At 52.5% G+C, this 17,226-nt stretch overlaps 1 protein-coding gene across 4 annotated transcripts, besides 2 other annotated features; it reads left to right on the plus strand.

Moving 5' to 3' along the window:
• On the plus strand, positions 1-12,175 carry DHDH (dihydrodiol dehydrogenase). 4 transcript variants are annotated; one of them, XM_017026598.2, is made up of 7 exons: positions 1-686; positions 2,206-2,317; positions 3,238-3,401; positions 6,655-6,907; positions 9,646-9,770; positions 11,563-11,713; positions 12,030-12,175. In XM_017026598.2, the coding sequence occupies exons 3-7, from the start codon at positions 3,285-3,287 to the stop codon at positions 12,137-12,139; spliced, it is 756 nt and encodes a 251-aa protein (XP_016882087.1). In that variant the 5' UTR covers positions 1-686; positions 2,206-2,317; positions 3,238-3,284; the 3' UTR covers positions 12,140-12,175. The 4 variants fall into 4 exon arrangements, with proteins under 4 accessions (XP_016882087.1, XP_005258805.1, NP_055290.1 ...); NM_014475.4 differs by lacking the exon at positions 1-686 and adding an exon at positions 905-1,017; XM_005258748.5 differs by lacking the exon at positions 3,238-3,401.
• Positions 478-979: an enhancer, noted in NCBI's record as "H3K4me1 hESC enhancer chr19:49436529-49437030 (GRCh37/hg19 assembly coordinates)". NCBI's record gives its function as "activates a minimal SCP1, AML or CMV promoter by ChIP-STARR-seq in naive H9 embryonic stem cells {active_cell/tissue: H9 hESC(naive)}" and the evidence as "EXISTENCE:reporter gene assay evidence [ECO:0000049][PMID:30033119]".
• Positions 2,260-2,819: an enhancer, noted in NCBI's record as "H3K27ac-H3K4me1 hESC enhancer chr19:49438311-49438870 (GRCh37/hg19 assembly coordinates)". NCBI's record gives its function as "activates a minimal SCP1, AML or CMV promoter by ChIP-STARR-seq in primed H9 embryonic stem cells {active_cell/tissue: H9 hESC(primed)}" and the evidence as "EXISTENCE:reporter gene assay evidence [ECO:0000049][PMID:30033119]".

The following is a 17,226-nucleotide window of genomic DNA, read 5'->3' on the forward strand; positions in this document are numbered from 1 at the left end:
CGAGACCCTATATCAATAATAATTATAATAATACAGTATATTTTACATAATAGACCATAGAGCTCAATGAATCCTCCTCACAACCCTATGTAGGTAGATGTTATCATGATCTCTGCTTTCCAGAATAGAAAAGTGAGGACCAGAGAGGGCGACCTCTTGTCCAAAAGCAATACAGCCAAGAAGGGGCAAGGAGGGTTTTGAAACCAGTCGGCCAGGCTCTGGGGCTCCTAACAAGCAAAGCAGCCTGGTTTCTAAAACTATAGCTTCTGGAAGCAGCCAATTCACAGGTCTTTACCTCCTGACTGTGAGACCTCCAAAAAATGACCAGGGATCTTGGAGTCTGTTTCCCCCTTTGTGAACTGGGGACAATAGAAGCTACTTCCCAGGTCTGCGGGGAGAAATTAGGAACGAAGAAGGTAAAGCGCAGAGCTGAGGAGCTGGTCTACAGGTGCTCTATACATATTAGTAATAATTATTAAGTTTGCTGTTACAATCCTCTCTCTCTCTGTGAACAACCCCTAATGATGCGTGGCTTTGAGAGCAAAAAAGTCAGGGCAAAGTTTTGCCACAAAGTCCAGAGGGCAAGACATTAAATCTAACTCTCAAGGATTGGTGTTGGCAAGAAAGCAAACCTCTCCTCCCCACGCTGTCCTTACCCCGCGTATCCGACGAGCCTAAAGTCATAGGTAAGAGATCTGTAGAAGCGACGTCAAGGTGTGGTTCCCTCTGTAAGGCGGAGCTAAACGGTGCATTCGCCCAGCGGGGAAGCTAGAACTAAATGACCGCTCTGCCGACTGGAGCCAACGAGAATCGGCGTAGGCGCAATACGGGCGGAGGATGGGGACCCGCCCCCGGGGTGGGCGGGGCGTCAGGTACTTAATTCGCGCCTGGAGGGACCGAAGGTGCCGAGGGCTCCGCATCGCAACCATGGCGCTGCGCTGGGGCATCGTGTCTGTCGGCCTCATCTCCAGCGACTTCACAGCCGTGCTGCAGACGCTGCCTCGCTCTGAGCACCAGGTCTGCCCGCCCTCCGGATTCTGGGGAAGAGGAGGCGGGGGGCGGGACTCCAGAGTCTAAAGGAGGAGGGAGTTTAGGGTTCAGGACTAGTGAGTGGGTCGTCATTGCAGTGAAACGTCTGTTTCCTTGCTACCTCCTTCTCCATCTCTGTTCTGCAAACCTGTGGGGAAAAGAAAGATCAGATTGTTACTGTGTCTACGTAGAAAATGAAGACATAAGAAACTCCATTTTGAACTGTACTAAGAAAAATTGTTTCTGCTTTGAGATGCTATTAACCTGTAACTTTAGCCCCAACCGTGTGCTCACAGAAACATGTCCTGTATTGAATCAAAGTTTAATGGATTTAGGGCTTTGCAGGATGTGCCTTGTTAACAATATGTTTGCAGGCAGTATGCTTGGTAAAAGTCATCGCCATTCTCCATTCTCTATTAACCAGGGGCACATTGCACTGCGGAAAGCCGCAGGGACCTCTGCCCAAGAAAGCCTGGGTATTGTCCAGGGTTTCCCCCCACTGAGAAAGCCTGAGATATGGCCTCGTGGGAAAGGAAGACCTTACATCCCCTAGCCCGACACCAGTAAAGGGTCTGTGCTGAGGAGGAGTAGTGAAAGAGGGAGGCCTCTCTGCAGTTGAGATAAGAGGAAGGCTTCTGTCTCCTGCTCTCCCTGGGAATGGACTGTCTCAGTGTAAAGCGGACCATTCCCATTCCTTCTATTCTGAGATAGGAGAAAACCTACCTGTGGCTGGAGGCGAGATATGCTGGCAGTGATACTGCTCTGTTACTCTTTGCTACACTGAGATGTTTGTGTAAAGTGAAACATAAATCTAGCCTACGTGCACATCCGGTCACAGCACCTTTCCTTGAACTTATTCATGATACAGATTCCTTTTCTACATAGACACAGTAACAATCTGATCTCTCTTTCTTTTCCCCACACAAACCTGAGTGTCTTGAGGTTTGGAAAGGCCTTGATGTAAGCTACTATGAAGATAATTTCAATATTGGGGGATTTAATAACGGCTTTCCCCCAGATCTCTCTTTCCCAGGGCCCAAATGTCCAGCCCCCGTCATCTCTTCCCCCAGGACCACGTCTCCCCTTCCCCTGGCCAGAGCCTCCTCCTTTGCCTCCCTTCCACCCAGTTTCCACGCCTGCCTCAGCCCCTCAAATCCGATTCTTGTGCCCCTCCAGGTGGTGGCGGTGGCGGCCCGCGATCTGAGCCGTGCGAAGGAGTTTGCACAGAAACACGACATCCCCAAGGCCTACGGCTCCTATGAGGAGCTGGCCAAGGACCCGAGCGTGGGTGAGTGGCGAGGGCGATGGGGGTGCTGGCCGCCGCCCCTGGAGCGGTGCCCCCTGGCTGCCCCCTGGGAGATGCAAGGCTCCTCAGGATGGTCCAATCCCTTTGGGTTCCATAAAGACCTTTGGCTGGGAGGAGAACTATAAAACGGGCTTGGTCTGGGACTGGCTGTCTAGTAGGTGTTAAACTACACTTAGCGTTCGAGACCAGCCTCGGCAACGTAGCAAGACCCAATCTCTACAAAAAATAACAATAAAAATAAATTAGCCAGGTATGGTGGCACGCACCTGTAATCCCAGCTACTGGGGAGGCTGAGGCAGGAGAATCACTTGAATCCGGGAAGCAGAGGTTGAAGTGAGCCAAGATCGCGCCACTGCACTCCAGCCTGGGCGACAGAGTGAGACTTGGTCTTAGAAATAAATAAATAGGCCGGGCGCGGTGGCTGACGCCTGTAATCCTAGCACTTTGGGAGGCCAAGGCGGGCAGATCATGAGGTCCGGAGATGGAGACCATCCTGGCTAATACGGTGAAACCGCATCTCCACTAAAAATACAAAAAATTAGCCGGGCATGGTGGCGGGCGCCTGTAGTCCCAGCTACTCGGGAGGCTGAGGCAGGAGAATGGCGTGAACCTGGGAGGTGGAGCTTGCAGTGAGCCGAGATCGCGCCACTGCACTCCAGCCTGGGCGAAGAGTGAGACTCCGCCTCCAAAAAAAAAATTAATTAATTAATTAAAAATTTTAAAAAAGAGAGCGAGAATGGCGAGAGGTAACAGCCCCTTCCTAAGGACAGCTCCCTAAGGGAGACAGGGGTGTGACCGACCACCTGGTCCCTGGGTGCTAGGGCGGGGCCTCGAAGTTGTGGGCGGAGCTCGGCTGTCTGGGTGGGCGGGGCTGCTGACCTCTTGACCTACTCCCACCCTAGAGGTGGCCTACATTGGCACCCAGCACCCCCAGCACAAGGCGGCGGTGATGCTGTGCTTGGCGGCGGGCAAGGCCGTTCTGTGCGAGAAGCCCACGGGCGTGAACGCGGCGGAAGTTCGCGAGATGGTCGCGGAGGCCCGATCCCGAGCCCTCTTCCTTATGGAGGTGAGGGCAGAGGAGCCCTTCCAATATCCAGCGTAAAAGTGCTTGCCATTAAATATGGTTGCCAGTGCGCGGACGGGGTCAGTGCATTTGCCAGGATGTATCTGAATCTCCTTGGCAGCATCTATTACCGTGAAAGCCATTGCTTTTGGCCCTTAGCAAACACGGCAAGGCTTACTGAAATTGCTTGGATCTTTTGTCAGTCTTTAAGAAAAAGATGCCGGCCGGGCGCGGTGGCTCATGCCTGTAATCCCAGCACTTTGGGAGGCCGAGGCGGGCGGAGCACGGGGTCAGGAGATCGAGACCGTCCTGGCTAACATGGTGAAACCCCATCTCTTCTAAAAATACAAAAAATTAGCTGGGCGTGGTGGCGGGCGCCTGTAGTCCCAGCTACTTGGGAGGCTGAGGCAGGAGAATGGCGTGAACCCGGGAGGCGGAGCTTGCAGTCAGCCAAGATTGCGCCACTGCACTCCAGCCTGGGCAACACAGTGAGACTCCGTCTCAAACAAGAAAAAAAACAAACAAAAAAAAAAACAAGAAAAAGATGCCAAGAGTGAAAGTGGCATAGAATGGCAATGGCTTAGTTTGGGTGGGGTTCCAGGTAGAGGTTGAAAGGACCAAGGAACCCCCTACAAACCTGCAGTGCAGTGGCGCGATCTCGGCTCACTGCAACCTCCACCTCCCAGGTTAAAGCGATTCTCCTGCCTCAGCCTCCCAAGTAGCTGGGACTACAGGCGCCCGCCACCATGCCCAGCTAATTTTTGTATTTTTAGTAGAGACGGGGTTTCACCATGTTGGCCAGGCTGGTCTCAAACTCATGACTGCAAGTGATCCTCCTGCCGCGGCCTCCCAAAGTGCTGGGATTACAGGCGTGAGCCACCGCGCCCGGCCCCTACCTCAAGGTCTTTCATGTAATCCTATCCGCCAGGACCCCTTAGCCTTGTAAAGTCACACATTCACAGACTCCGGGGATCATCAGGTCGTGGATATCTTTGGGGGCACCAGTAGCCTACTGCCACAACACCCAGGCTCAGAGCCTGCGCAGAGCCTGCCCCCGGCTCCCCAGTGCCCTCAGGCCTGTGTTCACGCTCCTCTCGACTGCTCCGAGCCCGGGCGGACCTCGGCCACATCCGTCCTGCCCCGCCCTTCCCCCGTGAGCCCTGACACTCTTGCGTCAGCATTTTTAGAAATTGCTGGTGTGGGCCAGATGCGGTGGCTCACGCCTGTAATCCCAGCACTTTGGGAGGCCGAGGCGGGCAGATCACCTGAGGTCAGGAGTTCAAGACCAGCCTGGCCAACATGGCGAAACTCCGTCTCTACTAAAAAAGTACAAAAATTGGCCGGGCGCGGTGGCTCACGCCTGTAATCCCAGCACTTCGAGAGGCAGAGGCGGGCGGATCACGACGTCAGGAGATCGAGACCATCCTGTCTAACACAGTGAAACCCCGCCTCTACTAAAAATACAAAAAATTAGCCGGGCGTGGTGGCGGGCGCCTGTAGTCCCAGCTACTCGGGAGGCTGAGGCAGGAGAATGGCGTGAACCCGGGAGGCGGAGGTTGCAGTGAGCTAAGATCCCGACACTGCACTCCAGCCTGGACGACAAGAGCGAGACTGTCTTTAAAAAAAAAAAAAAAAAAAAAAGAAATTGCTGGAGTGCAGCCTTGGGACCTTTGCCCATTCTCCCGGCTCTCCCGTGACATTCTTTCTCTGGGCTCTTTGCCTAGTCCACGGAGCTTCCGTCTCCCCTGGAATGTCACCTCCTCAGGGTGTCACCGTCCCGGCTGTCCTGCGTGAAGGACCCTCCATTTTATTTGTGTCCTTGGTATTCCTTTGTTCATCCCTTGGTTGCCTGTTCTCTGTCTCTCTAGACTGGGTGCTCCAAGAGGTAGAACTCTGGTTTTTGTTGTCATTGTTGTTGTTTTTGAGACAGAGTCTTGCTCTGTCGCCAGGCTGGAGTGCAATGGCGTGATCTCGGCTCACTGCAACCTCCGCTGCCCGGCTTTAAGTGATTCTCCTGCCTCAGCCTCCCGAGTAGCTGAGATTACAGGCATGCACCACCACGCCCGGCTAATTTTTGTATTTGTAGTAGAGACGGGGTTTTGCTATGTTGTCCAGGCTGGTCTGGAACTTCTGACCTCAGGTGATCCGCCCGCCTTGGCCTCCCAAAGCGCTGGGGTTACAGGCATGAGCCACAGCGCCCAGCCCCCAGTTCCAGGAGTTTTTTTTTGTTGTTGTCATTTTGCATTTTTCTACATAGATGATGTCATCTATGAACAAAGAGTTTTATTTCTACCTTCTGTATCTATATGCCTCCTTTAAGGAGTTTCACTAGGAGATGCACACGTAACTCTTAAACCCACTGGCCTGCATGCTCTATACCTACATCTAATCTCTTCTTATAAGGACACCAGTCATATTGTCATATTGGATAAGGGCCCACCCTAATGACCTCATTTTTTTTTTTTTTTTTGAGTTGGAGTCTCGCTCTGTCGCCCAGGCTGGAGTGCAACGGTGCGATCTTCAGCTCACTGCAACCTCCACCTCCCGGGTTCAAGCAATTCTCCTGCCTCAGCTTCCCGAGTAGCTGGGACTACAGGCGTGCGCCATCACGCCCAGCTAAAATTTTTTGTATTTTTAATAGAGACGGGGTTTCACCGTGTTGGCCAGGCTGGTCTCTTGGCTAGGCTGGTCTCGAACTCCTGACCTCGTGATCTGCCCACTGTGGACTCGCAAAGTGCTGGGATTACAGGCGTGAGCCACCGTGCCCAGCCTTGACCTTATTTTAACATAATTATCTCTCTGAAAACCCTGTGGCCACAACAGTTGCTTTCAGAGGTACTAGGGAGTTAAGGCTTCAACACGTGAATTGTGTTTGGCAGGGCAGAAGCGAGAGGGAGAGAGACACAATTCATCCCATAACATGGGGAGACTGGGGCAATGGTCCAGATGAAAAAGAACAAAAGTCAATAGGGCACGGTGGCTCATGCCTGTAATCTCAGCACTTTGGGAGGCTGAGGTGGGAGGACTGCTTGAGCCCAGGAGTTCGAGACCAGCCTGGGCGACATAGTGAGACCCTATCTCTATTCAAAAAAAAAAGAAAAAGAAGAAAAGTCAAGAGGGTCAGGAGCAAGAGGGATACAACCTGGGGACTGATGGGCTGTGTTTGGAGACTGGGTTGCAGTGGGTATCCCCCTATGATTGGGACCCCAGAAGGGATTAGAACTGGTTGGTTAACTCCTTTCCTTGTGGTCTGCAGGCCATCTGGACCCGCTTCTTTCCTGCCTCCGAGGCTCTGAGGTCTGTTTTGGCCCAGGGAACTCTAGGAGACCTCCGGGTGGCTCGGGCAGAATTTGGGAAGAATCTCATCCACGTTCCCCGGGCCGTAGACCGGGCCCAGGCTGGGGGGGCCCTGCTGGACATCGGCATCTACTGTGTCCAGTTCACCTCCATGGTCTTTGGAGGGCAGAAGCCAGAGAAGATTTCTGTCGTGGGAAGGCGTCATGAAACAGGTACCATCTATCCTGGAATATTTCATGGTGATGGGAATGATTCTGTCTCTCTGGGAGCACTGAACTGAGGACAAGTCTCCAAGTCAATGAGAATTAGATCAGACACCTAGAGGAACAACTTTCCATGAAGCCAGAGAGGATCAGAGTCAAGACTGCAGGTGGGCACTCTCCTGGGACTTTGCTGTGTGATCTTAGCCAGCAGACTTAACATCTCTGAATCTTAATTACTTTACTGGTAAAGTGTCACTAATAGGGTTGTCATGGGAGTTAATGAAGTAACTGCTGAGGCAAATGGCAGTTAATAAATATAAAATTATTATTTTTTGAAGTTGTCTCAGTGAATCTTTGCTACAAAAAAGACTACCCCACTTGGCCAGGCGTGGTGGCTCACGCCTGTAATTCCAGCACTTTGGGAGGCCGAGGTGGCCAGATCACCTGAGGTCAGGAGTTGGAGACCACCCTGGCCAATATGATGAAACCCCATCTCTACTAAAAATACAAAAATTAGCTAGGCATTGCGGCAGGCACCTGTAATCCCAGCTATCTGGGAGGCTGAGGCAGGAGAATCACTTGAACCCAGGGGGCGGAGGTTGCAGTGAGCTGAGATGGCGTCACTGTACTCTAGCCTGGGCGACAGAGTGAGACTCCATCTCAAAAAAAAAAAAAGCTGCCCCACTTTGCAGAAGAGGCCCTTGCCTTGGCTTCCACTCAGCTGGAAAGTATCCAAGAGTGCCTGAGCCACCCAGATGTGATGCCCTTCATCTTTGACCTTTAACCCCAAGGAGCAAGAGGCAGTTCATGCTTCATTAAAGTTACATTCAGCCGCAAAAAAAAAAAAACATAACACTACCCCAAAACTTAGTGACTTCAGGCTGGGCATGGTGGCTCACGCCTGTAATCCCAGCACTTTGGGAGGCTGAGGTGCGCGGATCACTTGAGGCCAGGAGTTCAAGACCACCCTGGCCAACATGGTAAAACCCTGTCTCTACGAAAAGTGCAAAAAAAATTAGTTGGGCGTGGTGGTGTGCACCTATAGTCCGGCTACTCTGGAAGGTGAGGTGGGAGGATCAATTGAGCCTGGGAGGCAGAGGTGGCAGTGAACTGAGATGGTGCCACTGCATTCCAGCCTGGGGAACAGAGCCAGACCCTGTCTCCTTTTTGTGGAGAACAGAGTCTCGCTATATTGCCCAGGCAGGTCTCGAACTCCTGGGCTCAAGCTATCCTCCCGCCTCTGCCTCCCCGAGAGCTGGGATTACAGGTGTGGCCACCGCCCCCGGCAAGCCAGACCCTGTCTCAAAAAAAAAAAAAAACTTAGTGACTTCAAATAGCAATCATTTATTAGCTTGTGATTCTGTGCATTGGCAAATTGGGGCTGGGCTCTGCTTGATGGTTCTTCTGCTGGTCTTATTCCTGCAGCTGCAGTCAGTTGGCTGTTCAGCTGGGACTGGACAGTCTGGTAGGCTTCATTTATATCTTACAGGTGGCAGGCAACTGTCTGGGAAGCCTTGATTCTCCTCCACCTGGCCTCTCCAGCTGGCTAGATACCATTCATATCGTGGTGTGAGAATTCCTGATGTGCAAGCACTTTTCAGGCCTCTAATTACACCATATTTGCTACTGGCCCATTGGCCAAAGCAAGTTACATGGCCAGCTCAGTTTTCAGAGATGGGCAAATAGACTGTAATTTTTGTTTTTTTTTAGATAGTATCTCACTTTGCCACCCAGGGTAGAATATAGTGGTGTGATCTTGGCACACTGCAGCGTCAACCTCCTAAATTCAAGCGATTCTCCTCCGTAAGACCCCCAAGTAGCTGGGCATACAGATGTGGGCCACCACGCCTGGCTATGTTTGTTTGTTTTTTGTAGAGATGGAGTTTCCCCATGTTGCCCAGGCTGGTCTCGACCTCCTGGGCTCAAGCAATACACACATTTGGCCTCCCAAAGTGCTGGGGATTACAGGCATGAACCACCGGCTTTTTTTTTTTTTTTTTGAGACGGGGTCTCACTCTGTCACTTAGGCTGAGTGCAGTGGCACAATCATTGCTCACTGCAACCTTGACCTCCCAGGCTCCAGGGATCCTCCACCTCAGCCTCCTGAGTAGCTAGGATCACAGGCACAAGCCACCACACCCAACTAAATTTTTTATTTTTTGTAGAGACAAGGTCTCACTATGTTGCCCAGGCTGGTCTTGAACTCCTGGACTCAAGGGATCCTCCTGCCTCCACCTCCCAAAGTGCTGAGATTATAGGTGTGAGTCACTGTGCACAGCCAAGACTGTACTTCGTGTGTGTGTGTGTGTGTGTGTGTGTGTGTGTGTGTGTGTGTGATGGAGTCTCGCTCTGTCGCCCAGGCTGGAGTGCAGTGGTGCCATCTCGGCTCACTTCAAGCTCCGCCTCCCACGTTCACGCCATTCTCCTGCCTCAGCCTCCCGAGTAGCTGGGACGACAGGACTACACCACGCCTGGCTAATTTTTTGTATCTTTAGTAGAGACAGGGTTTCACCGTGTTAGCCAGGATGGTCTTGATCTCATGACCCCACGATCTGCCCACCTCAGCCTCCCAAAGTGCTGGGATTACAGGCGTGAGCCACCGCGACCAGCCAGCACTTCATTCTTTTGCCTTGCCATGCAAGAAGTGAAGTCTCTTGCCCAAGGTTCCACAGGCAGGATTTGGGGCCTGTGCAGTCTCAGAGACTCTGCCCTGAGAGACCCTGCCCTGACCCAGGACTTCCCTCCAGGTGTGGATGACACTGTCACGGTGCTCCTGCAGTACCCAGGGGAGGTCCATGGCAGCTTCACCTGCAGCATCACCGTGCAGCTCTCCAACACGGCCTCCGTGAGCGGCACCAAGGGCATGGTACAGGTGAGGCATGGCGGGCCCAAGCGCTGGGGATCGTGCCCCTAAAATAGGAGGGGGACAAATGGCCTCTGGAGCTAGATGAGAGCTTAACCAGCCAATTTCACATCATTGCTAAAGAGTTCCTCCTTAACCAAGCCAAGAGGTGGGTTCTGGGCCTCTAGGCTCTCCTTACTTAGGATGAACCTATTGCTCTGTCAAATATTCTTGGGCCTGGCTGGCACGGTGGCTCACGTCTGTAATCCCAGCACTTTGGGAGGCCAAGGCAGGCAGATCACCTGAGGTCAGGAGTTCCAGACCAGCCTGGACAACATGGTGAAACGCCATCTCTACTAAAAATACAAAAATTAGCTGGGTGTGGTGGTGGGCGCCTGTAATCCCAGCTACTAGGGAGGCTGAGGCAGGAGAATTGCTTGAATCCGGAAGATGGAGGTTGCAGTGAGTTGAGATTACGCCATTACATTCCAGCCTGGGTGATAAGAGCAAAACTCCATCTCAAAAAAAAAAATATATATATATATATGTATCCTTGGGCCTGGCCGGCACGGTGGTCACACCTATAATCCCAGCACTTTGGAGGCTGAAGCTGGTGGATCACTTGAGCCCTGGAGGTCGAGGCTGCAGTGAGCTGTGATTGTGCCACTGGACTCCAGCCTGAGTGACAGAGTGAGATCCTGTCTCAAATATCTATCTTTAGTCCTGAGGAGAAGCCAGTTATTATCAACCATGCTTAGTGGGCAGTTGTGAATTTCGGAAGTGCATCCGGGGGAGGATCTGGGTGTTACCAAAGGTCAGCTTAACTGGTCTTCCTGGGGCCTTGTTGCTAGAAAAAAAAAAAACCCTATTTTATAGCCAGGCATGGTGACTTACACCTGTAATCCCAGCGTGATTGGGAGGCCAAGGCAGGCAGATCACTTGAGCTCAGGAATTCAAGACTGGCCTGGCCAACATGGTGAAACCCCGTCTCTACTAAAAAAAACATACAGGCTGGGCGCGGTGGCTCACACCTGTAATCCCAGCACTTTGGCAGCCCAGAGCGGGTGGATCACCTGAAGTCAGGTATTTGTGACCAGCCTGACCAACATGATGAAACCCTGTCTCTACTAAAAATGCAAAAATTAGCCAAGTGTGGTGGTGCATGCCTGTAATCCCAGCTACTCAGGAGGCTGAGGCAGGAGAATTGCCTGAACCCGAGAGGCGGAGGTTGCAGTGACCCGAGATCGAGCCATTGCACTCCAGGCTGGGCAACAAGAGCGAAACTCCGTCTCACAAAAAAAAAAAAAAAAATTAGTCAGGCATGGTAGTGGGCACCTGTAATCCCAGCTACTCGGGAGGCTGAGGCAGAAAAATCACTTGAACCCAGGAGGTGGAGGTTGCAGTGAACCGAGATTGATCCACTGCACTCCAGCCTGGGCGACAGAGCGAGACTCCATCTCAAAAAAAAGAAAGAAAGAAAGAAAGAAAATAAATAAGAAGAAAACATGGTTCACAGACACACAAAGATAAGCCCTCCTCTCTAGACCTTAAGAACACCTTGTTTCTAAGCTCCTAAGGTTAGGGAGAGGTTTGCTCCTGGGGAGACAGACAGGATTTTTGTGTCACATCAGCGTTGCTAAGGAACAAACTTCTAGCAACTAGAAATGAAGGAGGGTCCAAAGCTCCCCGGGGATGGACAGGGCAAGCTCTTAGCCACCAGGTTCAAGAGGGAGGCCCCTGTGCACCACCTGGCATGTTCCTGGAGGCAGCCTCAGCAGCACCGTTGGTGAAGGCAGCAGTGCCACTTCTTCTCTCCCTCCAGCTCCTCAACCCCTGCTGGTGCCCGACCGAGCTGGTGGTGAAGGGGGAGCATAAGGAGTTCCCGCTGCCCCCAGTCCCAAAGGACTGCAATTTTGACAACGGGGCAGGCATGAGTTATGAGGCCAAGCACGTCTGGGAGTGCCTACGCAAGGGTAAGGATATGGATGCGGGGCAGGCGCCAGGCCTGGTAGGGGGATGTTGGGCCCCTCCCCACCTGCTCTGTCACCCTGCTGTTTAGAACTACATCTCCCAGGAGGTTGCAGTGAGCCGAGATTGCACCACTGCACTCCAGCCTGGGCAACGGAACAAGACTCTCACTCCAAAAAAAGAACTATATCTCTCAGGAACCCCTGCAGCATCCATCTGCCTGAACCATGTATATTGTGCCACATGGAATTCTGGGAATTGTAGTTCTTTGGGTCTTGGGCGCGTGGGTAGGAGGGGTCCCTAACTACACTCTCCCCACAGGTATGAAGGAAAGTCCTGTGATTCCCCTGTCGGAAAGTGAGCTCCTGGCTGACATCCTTGAAGAGGTGAGGAAGGCCATTGGAGTCACCTTCCCCCAAGACAAACGCTGATGTATCCCCGAATAAATAAAGACATCTTACATCTTCGTGGTAGTGGTTTGGCAGAAGCTGGAGAACCCAGTATCAAAGGGTCACTAGAAAAGAATTTGGGCAGGGCTGGGCATGGCAGCTCATGCCTGTAATCCCAGCACTTTGGGAGGCCGAGGAGGGTGGATCACCTGAGGTCAGGAGTTTGAGACCAGCCTGACCAACATGGTGAAACCCCATCTCTACTAAAAATACAAAATTAGCCGGGCATAATGACGCATGCCTGTAATCCCAGCTACTTGGGAGGCTGAGGCGGGAGAATCACTTGAACCTGGGAGGCGGAGGTTGCGGTGAGCCGAGATCGTGCCATTGCACTCCAGCCTGGGCAACAAGAGCGAAACTCTATCTCAAAGAAAAAAAAAAGAAAGAAAAAAAAAATAATTCGGGCAGAATGATGAGGGAAGGCCGGGCATGGTGGCTCACACCTGTAATCTCAGCACTTCGAGAGGCCAAGGTGGGAGACTTGCTTGAGGCCAGGATTTCGAGACCAGCCTGGGTAACATGACAGGACCTTGTCTCTACAAAAAATAAAAATATTATCCAGGCATGGTGGCCCGCACCTGTAGTCCCACCTACTTGGGAGGCTGAAGTGGGAGGACTGCTTGAGTCCAGGAGGTTGAAACTGCCGTGAGTCATGATTGCACCACTGCACTTCAGCCTGGGTGACAGAGACAGACCCAGTCTCAAAAAAAAAAGAATGATTTTGGAGAGGGAGGAATGTGCAGGGTCAGGACCACATTCCCAGAAGCTCCTGGCACAGACACCTGTGGGAAGATCCACCGTTTGCCTGTCACGGCCTCTCTGGGGTTTGACCCTCATTGCCTTGGAGTGACTTTTGCAAAACAACTTGATTTCTCACCTCAAAAATCAGTCTTTTTCTGGACTCCTGAAAGCCACCCAGCTTTTGTTCTTGTTGCTCTTCCTGCCTGTAATTGTCTCTCCTTGAATTCAATATAGTAGTCAGGCTGTTCCTTTGGACAGTGTCAGAAACACAACTCAGAATGTCTCCACAAGGCCAGGCATGGGGGTCACAGCACTTTGGGAGGCTGAGACAGGAGGACCACGTGAGGCCAGGAGTTTGAGACCAGGCTGGGCAACATAGTGAGACCCCGTCTCTTAAAAAAAAAAAAAAAAAAAAGCCTGCACAGGAATGGAATGCTTGGTAATTAAAGCCTTCAGGGCAGGGCAGGCATCAGCCCAGGACTCTGTTTTTCTCTATCTCTTTGACTTTCCTTGGCATGGGTTTTAATGGCAGCAGTGGGCCATCTGGTACAGCCGGGGCCATCATGCTGGCTGCTGCCGGGAGGGCACAGAAAAGAGATGGACAGACCCTCACCCCTGCAGTCCGCTGCCCGGGGGGCTGCCCCCACAGAGCTGGGCCGGGTTTTGTGCCAGGTGAGGGGGAGCTCCAGGCCGTCTCTGAGTGCCAGGGTCACAGGAGGAGCTCACAGCCATGTTGCTTCGGCCCCCGATGCCAGCCCAGTCCTAGTAAGGACCCAGAGCTCCCACCCCTGGCTGCACATGGGTACAGTCAGGTGCCATGCTTCATGGAGCTGGCAGGAGCTGGGGACACACGGGAGCCCTGCCCCTTCCAAGATCAGGAGGGTGAGAGCTCCGCAGGAGCAACTGCAGCTGCCCAGGCCGTGGCTGCAATCCAGACACCCCCGTGCTATTGGGAGCTGGGAGTAGACAGGAGCCACACCCAGTTGTGTCTATGGATGTGGATGTGGGCCTCCTGCTCTACAGAGCAGGCAGGAGCCCCGCCCCCCAAGGCACAGCTGCAGCCCCCAAACCGGGGCTGTAGACCCAGGCATCCCTGCACTCCTGAGAGGCCTGGAAAGGCCTCCCTTGTCCTTGTAGGCTCAGAGGTGCCTGCTACCACTGCCTGGCCTCTCCCCACTCCCTCTCTTGCTCTGATCTCAGAGTGGGGTTGGGGCTGAGCCCAGGTGCTGACATTGTCCACCAGGTGTGCACATGCTCAGGGTAGTGCTAACATGTGCGAGCACTCTGCCACCTTGGCCTCCTCCAGACATTGGGTGCCGAGGAGCACAAGAGGGGAACCTGAGGGGGTGCTAAGGGTGGCTGGGTGCTGGCGTGAAGGTGCCCCTTGGTGCCAGCAGCCTGGGCACCATGGATGGCCATGGGAGGCAGACAGGCTCCTGGGCAGAAGGGGGCAGGTCCCCAGTGAAGCCCCACCTTCAGGCCAGGCAGGTTTGAAGCCTGGGGGCCAGGGTGCCAGTCCTGTGGACTGAAGGGGGAACTCATGGTGCTTTTTCCTGGGCCCACCCATCCTGCCATGGACCAATAAGCATGCACTTCCCCTCTGTGAGGCCCATAAAAGCCCCAGGCTCAGCCAGAGCCAGCAGAGGACAGAGAGACAACAGGATGACCAGCTACAGAGCGGAGCTACCCTCTCCAGGGCTCCTCTCTACTGAGAGCTGAGCACTTGGTGGGACAACCTGCCTACAGAGAAGAACTACCCACTGCGGGTCTCCCCTGAGCTGTTGTAATACTCAATAAAGCTCCTGTTTGTCTTTTTCACCCTTCCGTTGTCTGCATACCTCATTCTTCCTGGACACAGGACAAGAACTAGGGCAAAGGCACCACCAGCCACAGAGGTTTCTGGCCAGAAAAGCAACACCCCAAAGATCCTGTAACAGTTTCACCAGTTAAGTGTAGGCCTGGGCACTGGAGCCAGATGGTGCCTGTGACCTCAGGAAACTAATAGCGTGTGGGTAGGAAGTGTCCCTAAATACACTCTCCCCCAGCCTCTGTTTGTCTCTTCATCAGTAAAGGGGTACTACTAACTTTCCTCTGCTGAGGAATAAATGAGATGGTGACTGATGGGGCCGGGTGCGGTGGCTCACGCCTGTAATCCCAGCACTTTGGGAGGCCGAGGCAGGCAGATCATGAGGTCAGGAGATCGAGACCATCCTGGCTAACACGGTGAAACCCCGTCTCTACTAAAAATACAAAAATATTAGCTGGGTATAGTGGCGGGCGCCTATAGTCTCAGCTACTCGGAAGGCTGAGGCAGGAGAATGGCATGAACCTGGGAGTCGGAGTTTGCTGTGAGCCAAGATCACGCCACTGCACTCCAGCCTGGGTGACACAGTGAGACTCCATCTCAAAAAAAAAAAAAAAATGAGAAGGTGACTGATATGTAGTTTGGATCTGAGTCCCTGCCCAAATCCCATCTTGAAATTTAATTTCCAGTTTTGGAGGCAGGGCCTGGTACAAGGTGATTGGCTCATGGGGGTGGCTTTCTCGTGAATGGTTTAGCACCATCACCTTGGTATCACCCTCACGACAGTGAGTTCTCTCGAGATCTGGTCATTTGAAAATGTGTAGTGTTGGGAATAGACCCCCAAAATCTGGCCATAAACTGGCCCCAAAACTGGCCATAAACAAAATCTCTGCAGCACTGTGACATGTTTGTGATGGCCATGACGCCCATGCCGGAAGGCTGTGGGTTTACTGGAATGAGGGCAAGGAATCCCTGGCCGACCCAGGGTGGAAAACTGCTTCAAGGCGTTCTTAAACCACAAAAAATAGCATGACTGATCTGTGCCTTCAGGACATGTTCCTGCTGCAGATAACTAGCCAGAGCCCATCCCTTTATTTCGGCCCATCCCTTTGTTTCCCATAAGGAATACTTTCAGTTAATCTATAATCTGTAGAAACAATGCTTATCACTGGCTTACTGTCAAAAAATCTCTGTTCGAGGCTCTCAGCTCTGAAGGCTGTGAGACCCCTGATTTCCCACTCCACACCTCTATATTTCTGTGTGTGTGTCTTTAATTCCTCTAGCGCCACTGGGTTAGGGTCTCCCCAACCGAGCTGGTCTTGGCAGTGTAGCACCTTCCCCACTCTCTCCTGCTCCTTCTCCCGCCTTGTGAGATGCTTGTTCCCCCTTCACCTTCTGCCATGACTGGAAGCTTCCTGAGGCCTCCCCAGAAGCAGAAGCCTGTGTTACACTTGCTGTACACAGTCTGCAGAACCATGAGCCAATTAAACCTCATTTTTTTTTTTTTTTTTGAGATGAAGTCTCACTCTGTGGCCCAGGGTGGAGTGCAGTGGCACGATCTCACCTCACCGCAACCTCTGCTTCCCAGGTTCAAGTGATTCTTTTGCTTAGCCTCCCAAGTAGCTAGGATTACAGGTGTGCACCACTGCACACGGCTAATTTTTTTTTGTCTTGAACTCCTGACGTTAGGTAACCTGCCTGCCTTGGCAAATCCAAAGTACTAGGATTACAGGTGTGAGCCACTGTGCCCAGCAAACCTCTTTTGTTTATAAATTACCCAGCCTCTGTCAGGTGCAGTGGCTCATGCCTGTAATTTGAGCATTTTGGGAAGCTGAGGTGGGCAGATCACTTGAGGTCAAGAGTTCAAGACCAACCTGGCCAACATGGTGAAATCCCGTCTCTACTAAAAATACAAAAATTAGGCCGGGCACAGTGGCTCACACCTGTAATCCCAGCACTTCGGGAGGCCAAGGCGGGCAGACCACCTGAGATCAGGAGTTCTAGCCAGCTTGGCCAACATGGTGAAACCCCATCTCTACTAAAAATACAAAAATCACCTGGGCATGGTGGTGCATGCCTGTAATCCCAGCTACTCGGGAGGCTGAGACAGCAGAGATCTCTTGAACCTGGGAGGCGGAGGTTGCAGTGAGCCAAGATTGCACCACTCCACTCCAGCCTGGGTGAAAGAAAAAAGAAATTAATGGGTGGCTTAGCTGGGTGGTTCCAGCTCAGGGTCTCCCTGAAAATTGCAGTCATGACATCAGTCAGGACTATCTTCACCTGAAAGCTTGACTGGGGCTGAAGAATCCCTTTCCAAAATGATTAACTCACCTGGCCAGAGGACTTGGTTTCCTGCCACCCGTGTTTCGCCAGAGTATGACTGCTTGAGTGTCCTCACTGTCACACGTGTCCGTGCAAAGAGACCACCTAACAGACTTTGTGTGAGCAACAAGGCTGTTTATTTCACCTGGGTGCAGGTGGGCTGAGTCTGAAAAGGGAGTCAGCAAAGGGTGGTGGGATTATC

Source organism: Homo sapiens, chromosome 19, assembly GCF_000001405.40.
Source record: "Homo sapiens chromosome 19, GRCh38.p14 Primary Assembly".
NCBI classification, from domain to species: Eukaryota; Metazoa; Chordata; class Mammalia; order Primates; family Hominidae; genus Homo; species Homo sapiens.